Source organism: Homo sapiens, chromosome 1 (genome assembly GCF_000001405.40).
Source record: "Homo sapiens chromosome 1, GRCh38.p14 Primary Assembly".
Taxonomy (NCBI): domain Eukaryota; kingdom Metazoa; phylum Chordata; class Mammalia; order Primates; family Hominidae; genus Homo; species Homo sapiens.
This window is the reverse complement of record NC_000001.11, coordinates 244,467,384-244,484,518: the sequence shown is the minus strand read 5'-3', so window position 1 is coordinate 244,484,518 and position 17,135 is coordinate 244,467,384. Positions and strand designations below refer to the sequence as shown.

The 17,135-nt window shown below is 37.0% G+C and overlaps 1 protein-coding gene across 23 annotated transcripts in view; it reads right to left on the bottom strand.

The window, feature by feature from the left end:
- The window catches only part of CATSPERE (catsper channel auxiliary subunit epsilon), a 189,263-nt gene that overhangs the window by 155,986 nt on the left and 16,142 nt on the right, over nucleotides 1-17,135 (bottom strand). For 20 of the 23 annotated variants that reach the window (XR_001737095.2, XR_001737096.2, XR_001737099.2 and 17 more), the window contains 3 exons: nucleotides 6,905-6,978; nucleotides 6,544-6,613; nucleotides 4,735-4,802 (listed from right to left, as the gene is read on the bottom strand). Coding sequence is in view for 14 of the 23 variants with exons in the window: in XM_011544138.3 (XP_011542440.1) it covers nucleotides 4,735-4,802; nucleotides 6,544-6,613; nucleotides 6,905-6,978 (212 nt within the window). In the remaining 9 variants the exon portion in view is untranslated. Of the gene's footprint in view, nucleotides 1-4,734; nucleotides 4,803-6,543; nucleotides 6,614-6,904; nucleotides 6,979-17,135 lie in introns of those variants that run through there. The other 3 variants (XM_047417115.1, XM_047417123.1, XM_017000946.3) reach the window with 2 other exon arrangements.

Sequence of the window (17,135 nt, the reverse complement as noted above, 5' to 3'; positions counted from 1 at the left end):
TTAACAGAAGATGCATAAGACCGCTCATCTGAAGCCTACATGGTTGTATCACTTTGCATTCCCACCAGTAATGAAAGACAGTTGTTACTGGTTCATGTCCTCACCAGAAGTGGGTGTTATCAGTGTTTCTCTTCTTCAATATTGTGTTGGCTATTCGGAGTCTTTTGCTTCTCCATATACGGTCTAGGATGTGTTTATTGATATTTATAAAATAACTTGCTGGGATTTTGATTGGGATTGCATTGAATGTATAAATCAAGTTGGGAAGAGTTGGAGTGGGGTGGGTACTTCTACTATCACTTGTTAAGATTTAAAAAATACAGTTATAGTGATAAGGATAATGTAGTTTTGTTCAAGTATGGACAAATAGATCAGCTGAACAGAACAGCCAGCCCAGAGAAACACCCATGCATATATGGAAAATTGATATGTGAAAGAGAAGATATTCTGGATAAATAGATTATGCATTAAATAAGTATGAGAAAATTAATTATTCATGTAGAAAAAATAAAGTGAATTCCTATTCTAAGCTTGTACAAAAACTGATTCCAGGTGGATTAAAGACCTAATTTTAGAAGAAAAAAACATATAAAACTTTTAGAAAACAATATAGGAGAAATCCTTATGATCTTGAAAGTAGGAAAAGATTTCTTAAATAGATTTTAAAAGGCATAAACCCACAAAGGAAAGGATTAATAAATTTATCCACAATACTAAAGACCTCTCTGATCAATAGGAGTCATGGAAAGTAAAAATCTACATAAACTGGGACAGAATACTTTCAATACATATATAAGTGATAATGGAGTAGTAATTAAGACATATAATGAAATACTGTAAATTATTATGAAAATAAAAATAACTCAAAAGTGGATCAAAATACTTATTGAATAGGAAAGAGAAGAAAAATTCCTGCTGAACAGATAAAAAACACTCAACGCATCAGTAATCAGTAAAATGTAAAGAAAAATACAATGACATAATTTCGTACCTAGTAGACTGGAAAAATTAAAAAGTCAGACAATTTTAAGTGTTGGTGAGGATATAGCAAAATGGAAACTTTCACGTACTACTAGTGTGGATATAAAATTGGACAATCTTTCAAAAGTTACTTAGGCATCACCCAGTAAAGTTGAACAAATGCACATCCTACTTTTAGGCAATTGTACTTTTAGGTCTCTACCTTAGAGAAACCTTCATTTATATGCATTAAATCAGTACTACTTCTCCAACTATAATGCACATGTAAATTACTATAGAATCTTCTTAAAGTGCATATTATTATCCCATAGGTCTGGAATGAGGCCTGACGTTCTTCACTTCTAATAAATTTCCAGGTGATGTCAGTGCTGCTGATCCTCAGATTACATTTTAAGTAGCAAGATACTATGAGGTATATTCAGGATCATTCACAGCATCATTTGTAGTTGCAAATAAATGCATCAGCAGAATGAACAGAGTCATACAATGAAATACCATAGAGCAGTCACAATGAAGGAACTAAAGATTCTTATTTAAACATGTGTAAGTCTCAAAAACATAATTTTTAGAGAAGCAACTCATGGAAGAATACTTATCATATGATTCAATTTAAACAATGTTCAAGAACTGACAAAACTAAACAATTTATTATAATCAAATATAGTCGCTAAACTAAAAGAAAAAAGCAAGGAATCATTCATTATATAATATTTAGGATAAAATAACAAAAAGACAAAAAACAATATCCAGGATAGTGTCTAACTCTTGCAGGGTGAATAGAATGTGATTGGTAGCGCATAAAGAGGTGTGATGTTCTATTTCTTGATTTGGGTAATGCATATGTGGGTACTGATTTCATTACTATCCTTTTTATTCTTTATGTACTCTTTCTAGCCATTAATTATTATTATTTTGTTTTTATTTTTATTTTTTCTAGAGATGGGGTCTCACTCTGTCATGGAGGCTGGAGTGCAGTGGCGCAATCATAGCTCACGGTAGCTTTAAACTCCTGGGCTCAAGCGAACCTCCTACCTCAGCCTCACAAGTAGTTGGAACTACAGATGCAAGTCATCATGCCTGACAACTTTTTAACGTTTTTTGTAGAGACAAGTCTTGCTATGTTTCCCAGGATGGTCTTGAACTCCTGGGCTCAAGTGATCCTCCCACCTCAGCCTCCTAAGTCGTTGGGACTACAGATGCAAGTCACTATGCCTGGCAAATTTTTTATATTTTTTGTAGAGACAAGTCTTGCTATGTTTCCCAGACTGGTCTTGAACCCCTGGGCTCAAGCAATCCTCTCACCTTGGCCTCCCAAAACATTGAGATTACAAGCATGAGCCACAATGCTAGGCCTCATTATTATTCTTTAATTGATATTTTTACAGGTGACAGACTGAAAATTCTTACAATATATATTACAGAAAAACTCTTAGCCCCTACGGAGTTCTCTCTTTTGGACTAACCTGCCCCCTGGATAGGTGCTTTTCCTTCTGTTCTTATTTACATGGAGAAAACATGTCTAGATCAGGGTAGCCTGGAGGCCCACTTCTTTCAGCCCTAGCTCTTAGGTCTTAATGTGTGTAAATGAAATTGGTAACCCATTCAGTGCTTCTTGGCAGATGTCCTAGTTTGGGCTGCTATAACAAAAATACCATAGACTGGGTGGCTTTAACAACAAACCTTTATTTCTCATAGTTCTGGAGGCTGCAAAGTCCAAAGATCAAGGTGCTATCTTCTCACTGGGTCCTCGCATGGCGGAAGGGAAAAAGGAACTCTTTGGGCTCTCTTTTGTACGAGCACTAATCTCATTCATAAGGACTGTACCCTCATGACCTAACCACTTCCCAAAGGCGTGACCTTCAGATACCATCACATCGGGGATTAGGTTTCAGCATAAAAATTTGGGGGTAAATGGGGTGGGACACAAACATACAGTCTTATGGCAACAGATTATCTTCTCTGATGGTTCCCAAGAGCTCTACTTGGGAGAAGAGAAAGTAGCCCATTTGGCCAAAGGGGCAGGTCCTTTTTTACAATTCAGCTCTACCAGGAATATTTTATTTTTATTTGTTTATTTATTTATTTTGAGATGGAGTTTTGCTCTTGCTGCCAAGGCTGAAATGCAGTGGTGCAATCTCAGCTCACTGCAACCTCCGCCTCCCAGGTTCAAGTGATTCTCCTCCCTCAGCCTCCCGAGTAGCTGGGATTACAGGCGCCCGCCACCACATCTGGCTAATTCTTTTTGTATTTTTAATAGAGATGGGATTTCACCATGTTGGCCAGGCTGGTCTTGAACTCCTGACTTCAGGTCCACCTGCCCTGGCCTCCCAAAATGCTGGGATTACAGGTGTGAGCCACTGTGCCTGGCCTATTATTTTATTTTATGAGACAGAGTCTCATTCTGTCACCATGCCAGAGTACAGTGGTGTAATTATAGCTCACCGTAACCTTGACACAGTAACTTCAAATTTCTGGGGTCAAGTGATTCTCCTAACTCAGCCTCCTGCGTAGCTGGGACTACAGGCATGAGCCACTGCGCCAGGGCTCTACCAGGACTTGTTATCCCCAAATTTGCCCTTGTCCATTTCTCAACTGGTTCAGAACCCATAGAGGAAAAGCTGGGGACTGGGATTTCTGAAAGTGCCAACAAGGACAGAAGCCTGCCGGTTTCATGAGTAGCAGAGACTCAATCCTCCCTGCTTCTCAATAAGACTCCGGGAAAGTGGCAGTGAGTGAGAGAGGACTGGGTTAATGTGTACTCCTGGTGGGGCTTGCTGAAACCTCGGTATTATTAGGACTTACAATCTAGCTCAGGATGTCCAATCCAAAAATTCCACATAAACTGCAGAACCATCTGACTTTAAGGGACTACGTGGACCAGGACAATAAAACTATCAGCAACAACCATGCTTTACTGAAGACATGAGTATTCTGATTGGTTCTGCCTGGATCGTGTATGTGCCAATCCTCAACTAATAACTGTAACCAAGGAAATGTGGGTTTGTAGTTAGACCATATACGTCACACAAAATTAACAATATTATCACAGAATACGGAGGAATAGTTTCCCCAAGGGAATAAACGTGAAGTGGATACAAAGAAATAAGTATTTTCCAGGCATCTTGGGGTCAGGATCCACATACTACAGTTCCTTATGTCCTACACGGTGCCTGGGATGTTGCCGAGACTATGATGCTAAAGCATATTCCGAATCACTGATACTTTTTTAACTTATTGAATGATTTTTATGCAGTTAATTATGTAGTTATGTACCACTTTTTCCCTCCTTATATTCAGCTACCTTCATTTTGTCATGAGTTTGAAAAGCTATCCAATACAAAGAAGGTATTTTTGAAATGCATATAATAGAAGAGCCCTCTGGATTGAAAAACCAGGGTCAAATCTCAATGCTATCTTTTAGTAGCTTTGTACTTTTTCCAAATTGTTTAACCCATCCATGCTTATGTTTCCACAACTATAAAGACTTACATTTGTGTGGTTATTATAAAAATTAAGAAAGAATTTATATTAAAGCACAAACATGTAGACACAGCATGTGCTCAAATAGTGGTTGCTCTTATTTTTACTGTTTGTTCTTCAGTATTTCTTCGGCAGTATATTTGAGAATAGCTTGGTTGGTGAATGAAAGTTGTATGGAAACCGTAATATAGATAATCTATTTGTGGCTAATTAAAAGTTGAAGCTAAATACTCTTTAAAAGCATAATTACCTATTCAGTACTGCATTACTTACCTAACTCTATAGTACCACAGAAAGCAAGTATGAGAACTTTCCACAAATAAATAGCGTTCTTCTTCATCCTAAAAGAAAATGCAAAAGAAACTGTGATATATTAACATTAAATCAAATGCAAATATGGATATAGCCACAGAAGTCACAGAGGAAGTAAGTTACTTATCCACGATCAGAGGAAGCAGAATAAAGTTCAGAATAGAATTTAAATATATATTTAAATATTTATATATTGCCATCTTTATCATTTTTATTACATTTGTCTTCCTCACTGAAATACAATTCAAAAAATGTTCTCATTCACTGGGGTAATTTTGCTCCCCAGGGACTTTTGGCAATGCCCAAAGATGCTTTCGGTTGTTACAACTGAGTGCTTTTCAAAAGTCAGATGTGGCCTGGCGCAGTGGCTCACACCTGTAATCCCAGCACTTTGGGAGGCCGAGGTGGGTGGATCACCTGTGGTGAGAAGTTCGAGACCAGCCTGACCAACATGGTGAAACCCCATCTCTGCTCAAAATACAACATTAGCTGGGTGTGGTGGCACATGCCTGTAATCCCAGCTACTTCGGAGGCTGAGGCAGAAGAATCGCTTGAACCCAGGAGGCGGAGGATGCGGTGAGCCTAGATTGCACCATTGCACTCCAGCCTGGGCAATAAGAGTGAAACTCCATCTCAAGGGGAAAAAAAACAAAAAACAAAAGGAAAGGGAGTCCCTTACTTCCTCATAAATCTTTTTTTTTTTTTTTTTTTTTTTTTGAGACGAAGTTTGGCTCTTGTCCCCCAGGCTGGAGTACAATGGTGCAATCTTGGCTCACTGCAACTTCCACCTCCCGGGTTCGAGCGATTCTCCTGCCTCAGCCTCCTGAGTAGCTGGGATTACAGGTGCCTGCCACCACACCCGGCTACTTTTTGTATTTTTAGCAGAGACGGGGTTTCACTATGTTGGCCAGGTTGGTCTTGAACTTCTGACCTCAGGTGATCTGCCCACCTCCCAAAGTGCTGGGATCACAGGCGTGAGCCACCGCGCCCGGCATGAATTGTGTTCTTGAAATTGGCAAATACTCATAGACTCAAAGAGACAAATTCAAATATGTTTCACATCATAAGGATTGAAAAATGAATAAATATTCATCTGGCTTCTCCCACATCGCTCTGTCTACTTGTGCCTTGACAATAAAGCTTTTTAATTAAAGAGAAGTCACAAGCCTCAAAGTAAAGGCAGGATTGGTGACATGGTATCTGTAGAACTGCAGCTTCAGGCACACTTGTGTGGGAACATCAGCTGTGCAGTATGTAGCCAGTATTTTGTTACTAATTACTAAAATGCCAGTGTATTAAAATGCTTTACTTTGCCTTTGGGTGTTTTTGGTAAACTAGAGACGTTCAACCTCATTCTAATTCATTTGCATTCTCATGTTTTCTTCAGTTGAAGAAAATGCAGTGGAGTAAAATAAATCTGCTAGAAATTACTCTTAATCTCAGCATTGTCACAGGGGTGTATGACAGGAGACCCACTAATCTGAGAGTCCTATTATCATTAAGGTGGTGGCTATGAACTTTAACATACTTAGTAATAAAAAGACTAAGATAAAAATTGTATATAATTTTATAATTTAGAATTTAACATGAGATATATCTAAAAATTGACATACAATAACTTTAAAATAGGGCTTGTTTATAGTTAACAATTAATACTATTTAAAACAGGTTAAATTAGATTGAAAAGCTCAAAAGAAAGGCAAAATAAAATGTAACAGGATAACAGGATGATTATTCAAGATTTAATAACATATCATTAAAACAACTTACTGGGCCAGTAACAATTGGTTTTATAGCGTGAACACCAGGTGAGGAACAACGCAATTCTGTCGTGGGTGAGCTAGTGTTTAAAAAGATGAGAAAGAATAATTATAGGTGCATATGATATTAATAAAATTCCCTTACTATTTTTTAAGCCTAAAAATTTCAATTGTATGCTGATAAGAGATATTTTTAAATATTTGCAATATTTTACTTCTATACTATATTCGACCTGATTTTGTCTTGCTTTTCACATCTACTTAATGAAAGAAAATTTATATTAAATCACAGCCTTGAATCTCAATGTTCACATTATATGAATGAATTAAAAAATATACACATACATTGATATTCATGGCATAAATCTTACCTTTTATTTAGCACAAAACAAGTTTCTGGCACACTCCACTCAGTAAATAATGTTCCTTCATACTCTAACTTAATCTAAAAAAGAAAACAAGAGTTCGAACAAAAAATATCATTCAAACTTTTCACCTCAGGGTTCCGTTGTAGGATTCAATTTTCTGGGTCCTAATTATTTAAAGAAAGAATAACTAAAATTCAATTCCCTTTAAATTGTACAAAGTAATGTGACAAAGAAAAGGTAACTTAACCCATCTGGGACACTTAAGCAGTCACTCCAAAAAACTGTAAACCTTTAATTTTATTTACTTCAGCAATAATCCATTGGCCGGGTGCAGTGGCTCATGCCTGTAATCCTAGCACTTTGGGAGGCCGACGCAGGTGGATCACCTGAGGTCAGGAGTTTGAGACCAGTCTGGCCAACATGGTGAAACCCTGTCTCTACTAAAAATACAAAAATTAGCTGGGCGTGGTGGCACGCGCCTGTAATCCCTGCTACTCAGGAGGCTGAAGCAGGAGAATCGCTTGAACCTGGGAGGCAGAGGTTGCAGTGAGCCGACATCACGTCATTGTACTCCAGCCTGGGAGACAAGAGCGAAACTCCATCTCAAAAAAAAGAAAAGAAAAGAAATAATCTATTAAGTATCTAAGAAGGGACTGACACTCTGGTAGGTTCTGAGGATTAAAAAACAAAGACGAATGAGAAATGATCCTTCGCTTAAAAACAAGTCACTTTTAATTCTGAGATCCTATTATTTACACGTTACTGACTATTAACATAACTTTCATCTTTTTCTTATTTCTAAAGCTACTTTTTTCCCTGCCTCTCTATTCTTTCATTTAGAAATTCTTTCCCCTCCTGAAGTATACCAATTCACTTTCTAACATTGTCAGTCTTAGTTTTAACACTGATCCTCTTCTTCAGCCAGAGTTGTAACTCAATTTTACCTTCTAATATTTGTGACACAAAATTATATACACATACATAATATATGAAGATTGCTTTGGTGTTTTAACTCGGAAAATGGAGATTATAACTGGTGGTAAACCGTTTCATAGATTTGATATTATAGGATAGTGTATAAGAAGAAAAAAGAGAAAAATTCATGAGAAGATACAACATAACTTTAAAATATAATAAGCAAAATTTGATAGAACTGCTACAAGAAATTTCAAAAGCCATAAATATAGTGGTAGATTTTATAATACATTTTTCTCAAACTAAATAAACTTGGGGAGGGGAGGGAAAGGTAGTCAAAGACTTAAAAAATATAATTAGTAAGTTTATGATATATATGTTAAAACTATATACATTCCTAAAGTTTTTTCTTTTTACTTTTCTTTAATAGAGACAGGATCTCACTGTGTTGACCAGGCTTGTCTCAAACTCATGGCCTCAAGCAGTCCTCCTACCTCAGCGTCCCAAAGTGCTGGGATTACAGGCATAAGCCACTGTACCCGGCCCCTAAAATTAAGCAATATAAAATATATACATCATTTGCAAGCTCACATAGAACAATTACCAAAACTGACCACATTTACAAGGAAAGTTGTAACCAATCTTGAAGAGTTACTATCACATATACAATGCCCTTTGATATTAGTGAAATAAAATTAGAATTTCTCATAAAGTTAGCCAGAAAAAAATCCTAAGATATTTGGAGTCTTTAAAAAAACAAACAAACAAAAAACTGTACTTCTAAATGATTCATAAGCAAAAGTCATAAAGTATAAAATGTTTATGAATAAACAGTAAAAGCATTTAATATTATAAAAATTTGTGGTATGGCCGGGTGTGGTGGCTCACGCCTGTAATTCCAGCACTTTGGGAGGCTGAGGCAGGCAGATCACGAGGTCAGGAGATCGAGACCATCCTGGCCAACATGGTGAAACCCCATCTCTACTAAAAATACAAAAATAAGCTAGGCGTGGTGGTGCGCACCTGTAATCCCAGCTACTCAGGAGGCTGAGGCAGGAGAATCGCTTCAGCCAGGGAGTCAGAGATTGCAGTGAGCTGAGATCGCGCCACTGCACTCTAGCCTGGCGACGGAGTGAGACTCCGTCTCAAAAAAAAAAAAAAAAAATTGTGGCCAGGTGCAGTGGCTCACACCTGTAATCCCAGCACTTTGGGAGGCCAAGGCAGGTAGCTCACTTGAGGCCAGGAGTTCGAGACCAGTCTGGCCAACATAGTGAAACCCTGTCTCTACTAAAAATACAAAAATTGCCCAGGCATGGTGGCACATACCTGTAATCTCAGCTACTCAGGAGGCTGAGGCAGGAGAATCCCTTGAACCCAGGAGAAGGAGGTTGCAGTGAGCCGAGATCATACCACTGCACTCCAGCCTGGGCAACAGAGTGAGACAGAAAAAAAAAAAAAGTCTCTAGATAAGATAATTTGAAAGTGAATAAACTCTGTTTTCAGTGTAAGATGATAATAAAAGGACAACAGAGAAAATCTCCCCAAATAAAAGGAAGGATATAAGAAAGAGAAAAAATAGAAATTTATAAAACAAATGAAAGGGCATTGGGAAGGGGCTTTGGGGATGTAGTTTTAAAAATTTATTTAAATTTCCTAATAAACACAGAAAGAACAATTAGGATAGTCCCCAAAAGCACTGGACAATAATCAATAATAAAACTCACTTAAGCCCAGGAGTTCAAGACCAGCCTGAGCAACATAGGGAGACCCCTCTCTATAAAAAATTAAAAAATTAGCTGGGTGTGGTGGCACACACCTGTAGTCCCAGCTACTTGGGAGGCTGAGGTGGGAGGATCGCTTGAGTCCAGGAGTTAAAGGCTGCAGTGAACTGTGACTGCATCACTTCACTCTAGCCTGGATGACAGAGCAAGACCAAAACCCTGTCTCCAAAAAAAAAAAAAAAAAGAAGAAGAAAAAAAAGAAGGGATTAAAAAATGATTAAGTGATTTAAGACTAAGCAACAAATATGAAAGATAGGCACAGAAAATCCAATATACATATATCCAGAGATCCTGAAGAGGAAAACCAAAATGTTTGGAACAGAGCAATAACAGTAAATATAATCAAAGAACAATATAATCAAATATTTGATAATAAAAACAATATAATCAAATATTTGATCAAATATAATCAAAGAACAATTATAGAATATAGTAATATTCTATAATTAAAGAATAATACATGAAATTGAAAAATTGGAATGAACATAGAAGAAGATCATTGAAAATAGAATAAAATCATTGACTAAAAAATATGGGAGAGAATGAAAAAGGAAAGTAGAATAAGATCATTGCCTGGTTGTTAAGCAGTAAACTGAGTGCGGTGGCTCACGCCTATAATCCCAGTACTTTGGAAGCTGAGGTGGGCAGATCATGAGATCACAAGTTCGAGACCACCCTGGCCAACATGGTAAAAACCCCGTCTCTACTAAAAATACAAAAAAATTAGCCAGGCTTGGTGGTGGGCGCCTGTAATCCCAGCTACTCAGGAGGCTCAGGCAAGAGAATTGCTTGAACCTGGGAGTCGGAGGTTGCAGTGAGTCGAGATCACGCCATTGCAATCCAGTCTGGGTGACAGGGCGGGACTCCATCTCAAAAACAAAAAAAAAGCAAAAAAAAGAAAGAAACCAGGCAGTAAAAGAGTAAATAAAAGAGCAGGGCACCAAAGATGTTCGAAAGGTATAAGCACAAAGGTAGCCACTAAAACAAAAATACAAACGTTTCTAAATATAGAAAGATAATTTTTTTAAAGAAAAGAATCCAACAGAGAAAGAAACAGTAAATACAACACACCTAAGATAAACTAATATGAGAATTGAGACCAAAGATATGTTATATAATTAAATGTGAATGGGCTTAACTCACACAGCAAGACCCAATACATGCTGTTCGAAAGAAATACCAGAAGAAAAAAGTGACCCAGAAAGACTAAAGTAATGAGAGAAGACCTCGGTGACTTTGGGTTTGCCAACAACTTCTTAGATACATCACAAAAAGCACAAATCAAAAAAAAAGGTTGATAAATTGGACTTCATTAAAATTAAAAACTTCTGCTCTGTAAAAGACACTGTTAAGAGAATGAAAAGACAAGCAACAGACTGGGAGAAAATATTTGCAAAGTTACTCATATCTGATAAAAGATGGTATCCAGAATACACAAAAAAACTCTTAAAACTCAACAACAAGGAAACGAAAACCCATCTTTAAAAATGGGCAAAAGATCTGAACAGGCACCTCACCAAAGATAATATACAGGTGACAAAGATATGAAAAGACTCTCCACATCGTATGTCATTAGGGAACTGCAAATTAAAGCAACGAGATACCACAACACACCTATTGGAATTGCAAAAATCCAAAACACTAACAACGCCAAATGCTGGTGAAGATGTGGAGCAACAGCACTGTCATTCATTGCTGGTGACAATGTAGAACGGTACAGCCATCTTGGAGGACAGTTTGGCAATTTCTTACAAAACTAAACATACTCCTACCATATATCTAGCAATTGCACTTTTGGTATTCACCCAAATGGGGTCCACACGAAAACCTGTCCATGAATGTTTGCAGCAGCTTTATCTGTAATTGCCCAAACTGGAAGCAACTGGGATATCTTTCACTAGGTGAATGGATAAACTATAGTACATCCAGACAATAGAGTATTACTCAGTGCTAAAATGAAACGAGCTATCAAGCCATGAAAAGGCATGGAGGAAACTTAAATGTGTATTGTTAAGTGAAAGAAGCCAATCTGAAAAGGCTACATACTGTTTGATTCCCACTAAATGACATTCTGGAAAAGGCAAAACTATGGAGACAGTTAAAAGATCAGTGTTGTAAGGGGCTGGGGAGGGGGAGGATTGAAAAGGCAGAGCAGAGAGAATTTTTAGGGCAGTGAAACTATTCGGTGTGATACTATAATGGTAGAAACATGTCATTAAACATTTGTCCATGCTCACATAATGTACAACACAAAGAGTGAACACTAATGTAAATTACAGATTATAGTTAATAATGATGTATCAATATTGGCTCATCAATTGTAAGAAATGTAGCACACTAATGCAAGATGTCAGTAATAGGGCAAACTGGGGAGGTTTTATGGGATCTCTCTATACTGTTTGCCCATTTTTCTATGAACCTAAAACTGCTCTAAAAATAAAGTCTGTTAACTCTTAAAAAATTTTTTAAAAGCCATGGGCAAAGGTATACCAGGAAAATGGTCCTGTCAAAAAAAAATCAATATAAAAGCAGGAATTGTGACTCTGATATTAGATAAGGTAGAATTCAAGCCAAAATGTATTCAATATGCAGAACAATGAGAACTCTCCTCTGCTGCTCATGGGAATGCAAATGGTACACCTACTTCAAACAACAGTCGTGGGCCAGGTGCAGTGGCTCATGCCTGTAATCCTAGCACTTTCAGAGGCTGAGATGGGAGGACTGCTTGAGCTCAGGAGTTTGAGACCAGCCAGGGCAACATAGTAAGACCTTGTCTCTAATAAAAATAAAATAAAATTAGCTGGGTGTGGTGGTGCATGCCTGCAGTCCCAGCTACTCAGGAGGCTGAGGCGGAAGGATCACTTGAGTCCAGGAGTTTGAGGTTGCAGTGAGCCATGATCGTGCCACACACACCACGCTAGGCAACAGAGTTAGAGTCTGTCTCAGAAAAGAAAAGAAAAAGAAGAAAACTGTTGTGTAGTTTCTTATTTGCTATAAACATATCATTGCCTTATAACACAGTAATCCCATTCCTAGGTATTTAACCAAAATAAAAATATATGTCCCCACATATGTACATGAATGTCCACAGCAGTTTCATCTGAAATAGCTCTAAGTTGGAAATAACCCAAATGGCCATCAACAAGAGAATGGACAAATGGTGGCATAAGAATGCAAATGAATACTCAGCAATAAAAAGGAATGAAGTTCTCATATATGCAACATTATGGATGAATCTGAAAGCACTAAGCCAAGTGAAAGAAAACTGACCCCAAAAGACTATATATAGTATGGTTTTGTTTCTATGACTATCTAGAAAATGCAAAACTATAGGATCAGGAAATAGATTCGTGGCTGCCAATGGCTGAGATGGGGAAGGTAAAGCATGACTGCAAAGGGCATGATGAAACTTTTTGGGGTGAGGTAAATGTTGTATATCTTCATTATTACGGTGATAACGCAACTGTATGCATTGCCAAAGGTCATCAAACTATATGCTTAAAAGGAGTAAATTTCATTGTATGTAATTACCTCAATTAATTTGCCTTTTACAAAAGGAACTAAAGAAATATATAATCATAATGTATAAACCTTATCTGGATCTTGATTTACATAAACAAACAGAAAATGACATTTATATGACAACTGGTCATTTGAATACTGACTAGATATTTGATGACATTAAGGAATGATTATTAATTTTTAGGTGTGCTAATTAGTATTACGGTTATGGTTTTTTAAACAACTTTGAGATATAATTCACGTCATACAATTCATTCATTTAAAGTGTACAATGGTTTTTAGTATCTTCATATACTTCTGCAACTATTACTGTAATCGATTTTAGAACATATTCAACACTCCACAAAAAAACTGCCACACTCCTCGGAGGTTACCACCCCAGCCCTATCTCCCAGCCCTAGGCAGGCACTAACTTACTTTCTGTCTCTATACATTTGCCTATTCTGGACATTTCATGTGAATGAAATCATACAACATGTGGTCCTTTGTGAAAGGTTTCTTGCACTTAGCATAATGTTTTCAAGGCTTTTCTATATTGTAGCACATAAAAGTACTTCATTCATTTTTATTGACAAGTAATGTTCCATTATATAAACATACTACATTTTATTTATCCTTTCCTTAGTTGATGAACATTTGCATTGTTTGCACTTGGGGGCTATTATGAATAATGCTTCTGTGAACATTCATGTACTAGTTTTTGTGTGGACATTATATTTTCATTTCTCTTGGATGTAAAACTGGAAGTGCAATCTTCAGAACATATTGGTAACACTATGTTTAACTGTTTGAAGAGCTACAAGGCTGTCTTCTAAAGTGCCTGCACCATTTGACATTTGACAGCAATATAAGAGTTCCCATTTCTCTACATCCCCACGAACACTTGTTATTATCTGTCTTTTTGATTATAGACATCTGAGCGGGTGCGAAGTAGTATCTTATTATGGTTTTGATTTCCATTTCCCTGATGGGGATGTGCTTATTGGCCATTTGGATATCTTCTTTGGAGAAATGACAATTCAGATCCTTTGCCCATTTAAAAAACTGGGTTGTATTTTTATTACCAAATTATATCAATAGTAGTTCTTTATATATCTAAAAACAAGTCCATAATAAGATACATGAATCACAAAATTTCTCTCCCATCCTGTGAATTGTCTTCACTTTCTTGATGATGTCCTTAGAAGCACAAAAGACTTTAATTTTGATGATGTCCAATTTATCTATTTTTTCTTTTGTTGCTTGTGCTTGTGAGCAACCATCACCTAATCCAAGGTCACGGATTTTCCCTTATGTTTTCTTCTATATGTTTTACAGTTTTAGCTCTTACATTTAGGTCTTTGATCCATTCAGAGTTATAATTTTGGGTGTGGTCTGAGGTGGGGTCCACATTCATTTTTTTCATGTAGGTATCTAGTTGTTTCAGTACCGTTCTTTTTCCATTCAATTCTCTTGGTATCATTATCAAAAATCAACTGACTGTAAATATGAGGTTTTATTTCTGAACTCTCAATTCTATCTCATTGATGTATATTCCTATCCTATGTCAGTACCAAAGTGTCTCAATTACTGCAGCTTTGTAGTAAGCTTAGTATTCAAATGACCAATTGTATAAACGTCAAGAACTGTGAGTCCTTCCACTTTTTCTGTTTCAAGACTGTTTTGTCTATTCTGGTACTCTTGAATTTCCATTTACAATTTCCTATGAATTGCCATAAGAAATTGTTAAGATAATTTATTAGTTCTAATAGTTTTTTGTTAGATTCCTTGGGCTTCCTATATAAAGGATCATGTCGTCTGCAAATAGAAATAGTTTATCTTCCCCTTTCCAAAGTGGATGCCTTTTAGTTCATTTTCTTGCATTATTGCCCTGGCTCTGGTCATTTTTAAAAAGAGTCTTATCATTTAAAGGTACACACTGAAATATGTATGGATGAAAGGATATGTATGGGATAGTTTCAAAATAATTCAGAAGGGAAGAAAGTGGGTGATAAAGTCAATGAAACAAGAATGGCCATGAGCTGTAATACTGGAGCTGAGTAATGGATATATAAGGACTTAATCTCCTTATATGTACTCCATACTTTTATGTACTTATATGTATTCCTTATATGTACTCCATACTTTTATGTATGTCTAAATTATACTAATTTATATATTTTATGTATATTTAAATGTTTTACTAATAAAAGTTTCAAAGATGTAAGTTCAAAACAGAGAACAAATTCTGTGGAAATTACCAAGCTTACATATAAACCTCCCCAATGATTAACTTAAATGTAGTCAAGTCCCTGCAGAAAGTTCCCACTATGCTTACCAACTTCATGTTTAAGTGACTTGGTATTATCTAAACAGAAAACTGATGCACTGTTTCAATTTACACAGAGTAGAGAAGGATTTTTTAGACATGCTTTTCATCAAGAAGAGTCACGGAAAATCTCTGGTATTCTGTACATTCAATATTTCCTTTCTCTCTCTCTCTGAAACAGGGTCTCATTGTGTCACCCAGGCTGGAGTGCAGTGGCATGATCATAGCTCACTGCAGCCTCTCCCTGCCAGGCTCAAGCAATTCTCCCACCTCAGCCGCCCAAGTAGCTGGGACTATAGGCATGCACCACCATGCCCTAATATTTTATTATTATTTGTAGAGATGGGGTCTGGCCATGTTGCCCAGGCTAGTCTCAAACTCCTGGGCTCAAGAGATCCACCTGCCTTGGCCTCCCAAAGTGCTGGGATTACAGGCATAAGCCACAACACTAGGCCCCTTCCTTTCTCTTAATATCACTTTCAAATCAGCTGCAATATCATTGGTTTTGTAATATTACTCTCTTGCCCTTTATCTACCTTTCTTGCTGATAATCAAACTCTAGGGTCCAATTTGCATTTCTAAAATGACATAGCTGTTTTGGTGGTCATTTATGAATTAAAGATGGACCATTTCTGCCACCTACATAAAAATAATAATGGAAAATCGAGATAAAAAAGATGATTCTTAAAAAGACCAATAAGGCTGGGTGTGGTGGTTCACGCCTGTAATCCCAGCACTTTGGGAGGCCAAGCTGGGCAGATCATGAGGTCAGGAGATTGAGACCATCCTGGCTAACATGGTGAAACCCCGTCTTTACTAAAAATACAAAAAATTAGCCGGGCGTGGTGGCACACACCTGTAGTCCCAGCTTCTCGGGAGGCTGAGGCAGAAGAATTGCTTGAACCTGGGAGGCAGAGGTTGCAGTGAGCCAAGATTGCGCACTGCACTCCAGCCTGGGTGACAGAGCGAGATTTTGTCTCAAAGAAAAAAGAAAAAAAAAAAACAATAAAATGGTCCAATACATGGCAAAACTGTCCAGGAAAGGAAGATAAAGTGCCCAAATAAACTCTATTAGAGACATAAAATAGCTAAAAATAGATATTGAAATGGTAAGCAAAGATTATAAACAAATGAATAGCAATAAATTTGAAAACACAATTGTAAAAGAAAATATATATTACATAGATTCCTCTTGCCTGGTATGGAATATTATAAAGTTTATACAGAATGTGTTCTTTTCTGTATGGCTACTTTCACAGAGTACAGTGAGATTCATCCATATTGTTTTGTGTTGACATGTAGACACAATGCACTTATTTTCATTTGCCATATAGTATCCTACTATGTGAATACACAGAAATGCATTTATCCCTCTATACTACTGATTGACATGCTACTGGGTTGTTTCTAGTTTGGAGTTCTTAGGAATAATGCTGTCGTAACCGTTCCTACATAGGTCTTCTGGTGCTGGATGTATACCTAGGAGTCAAACTAGTGTGTCACAGGATACGTATATATTCAACACTATTGGATAATAGCAAACAGGTTTTCAAAGTGGTTATACCAACCTGCATTCCTTCTAGTGGTGTATTAGAGTTCCTACTGCTTTACATTCTTACCACCCCTTGTTATCTTCAGTCTTCTTAATTTTAGGCATTCTGATTGGTTTGTAATTACATCTCCCTGTAATTTTAATTCACACTTCACT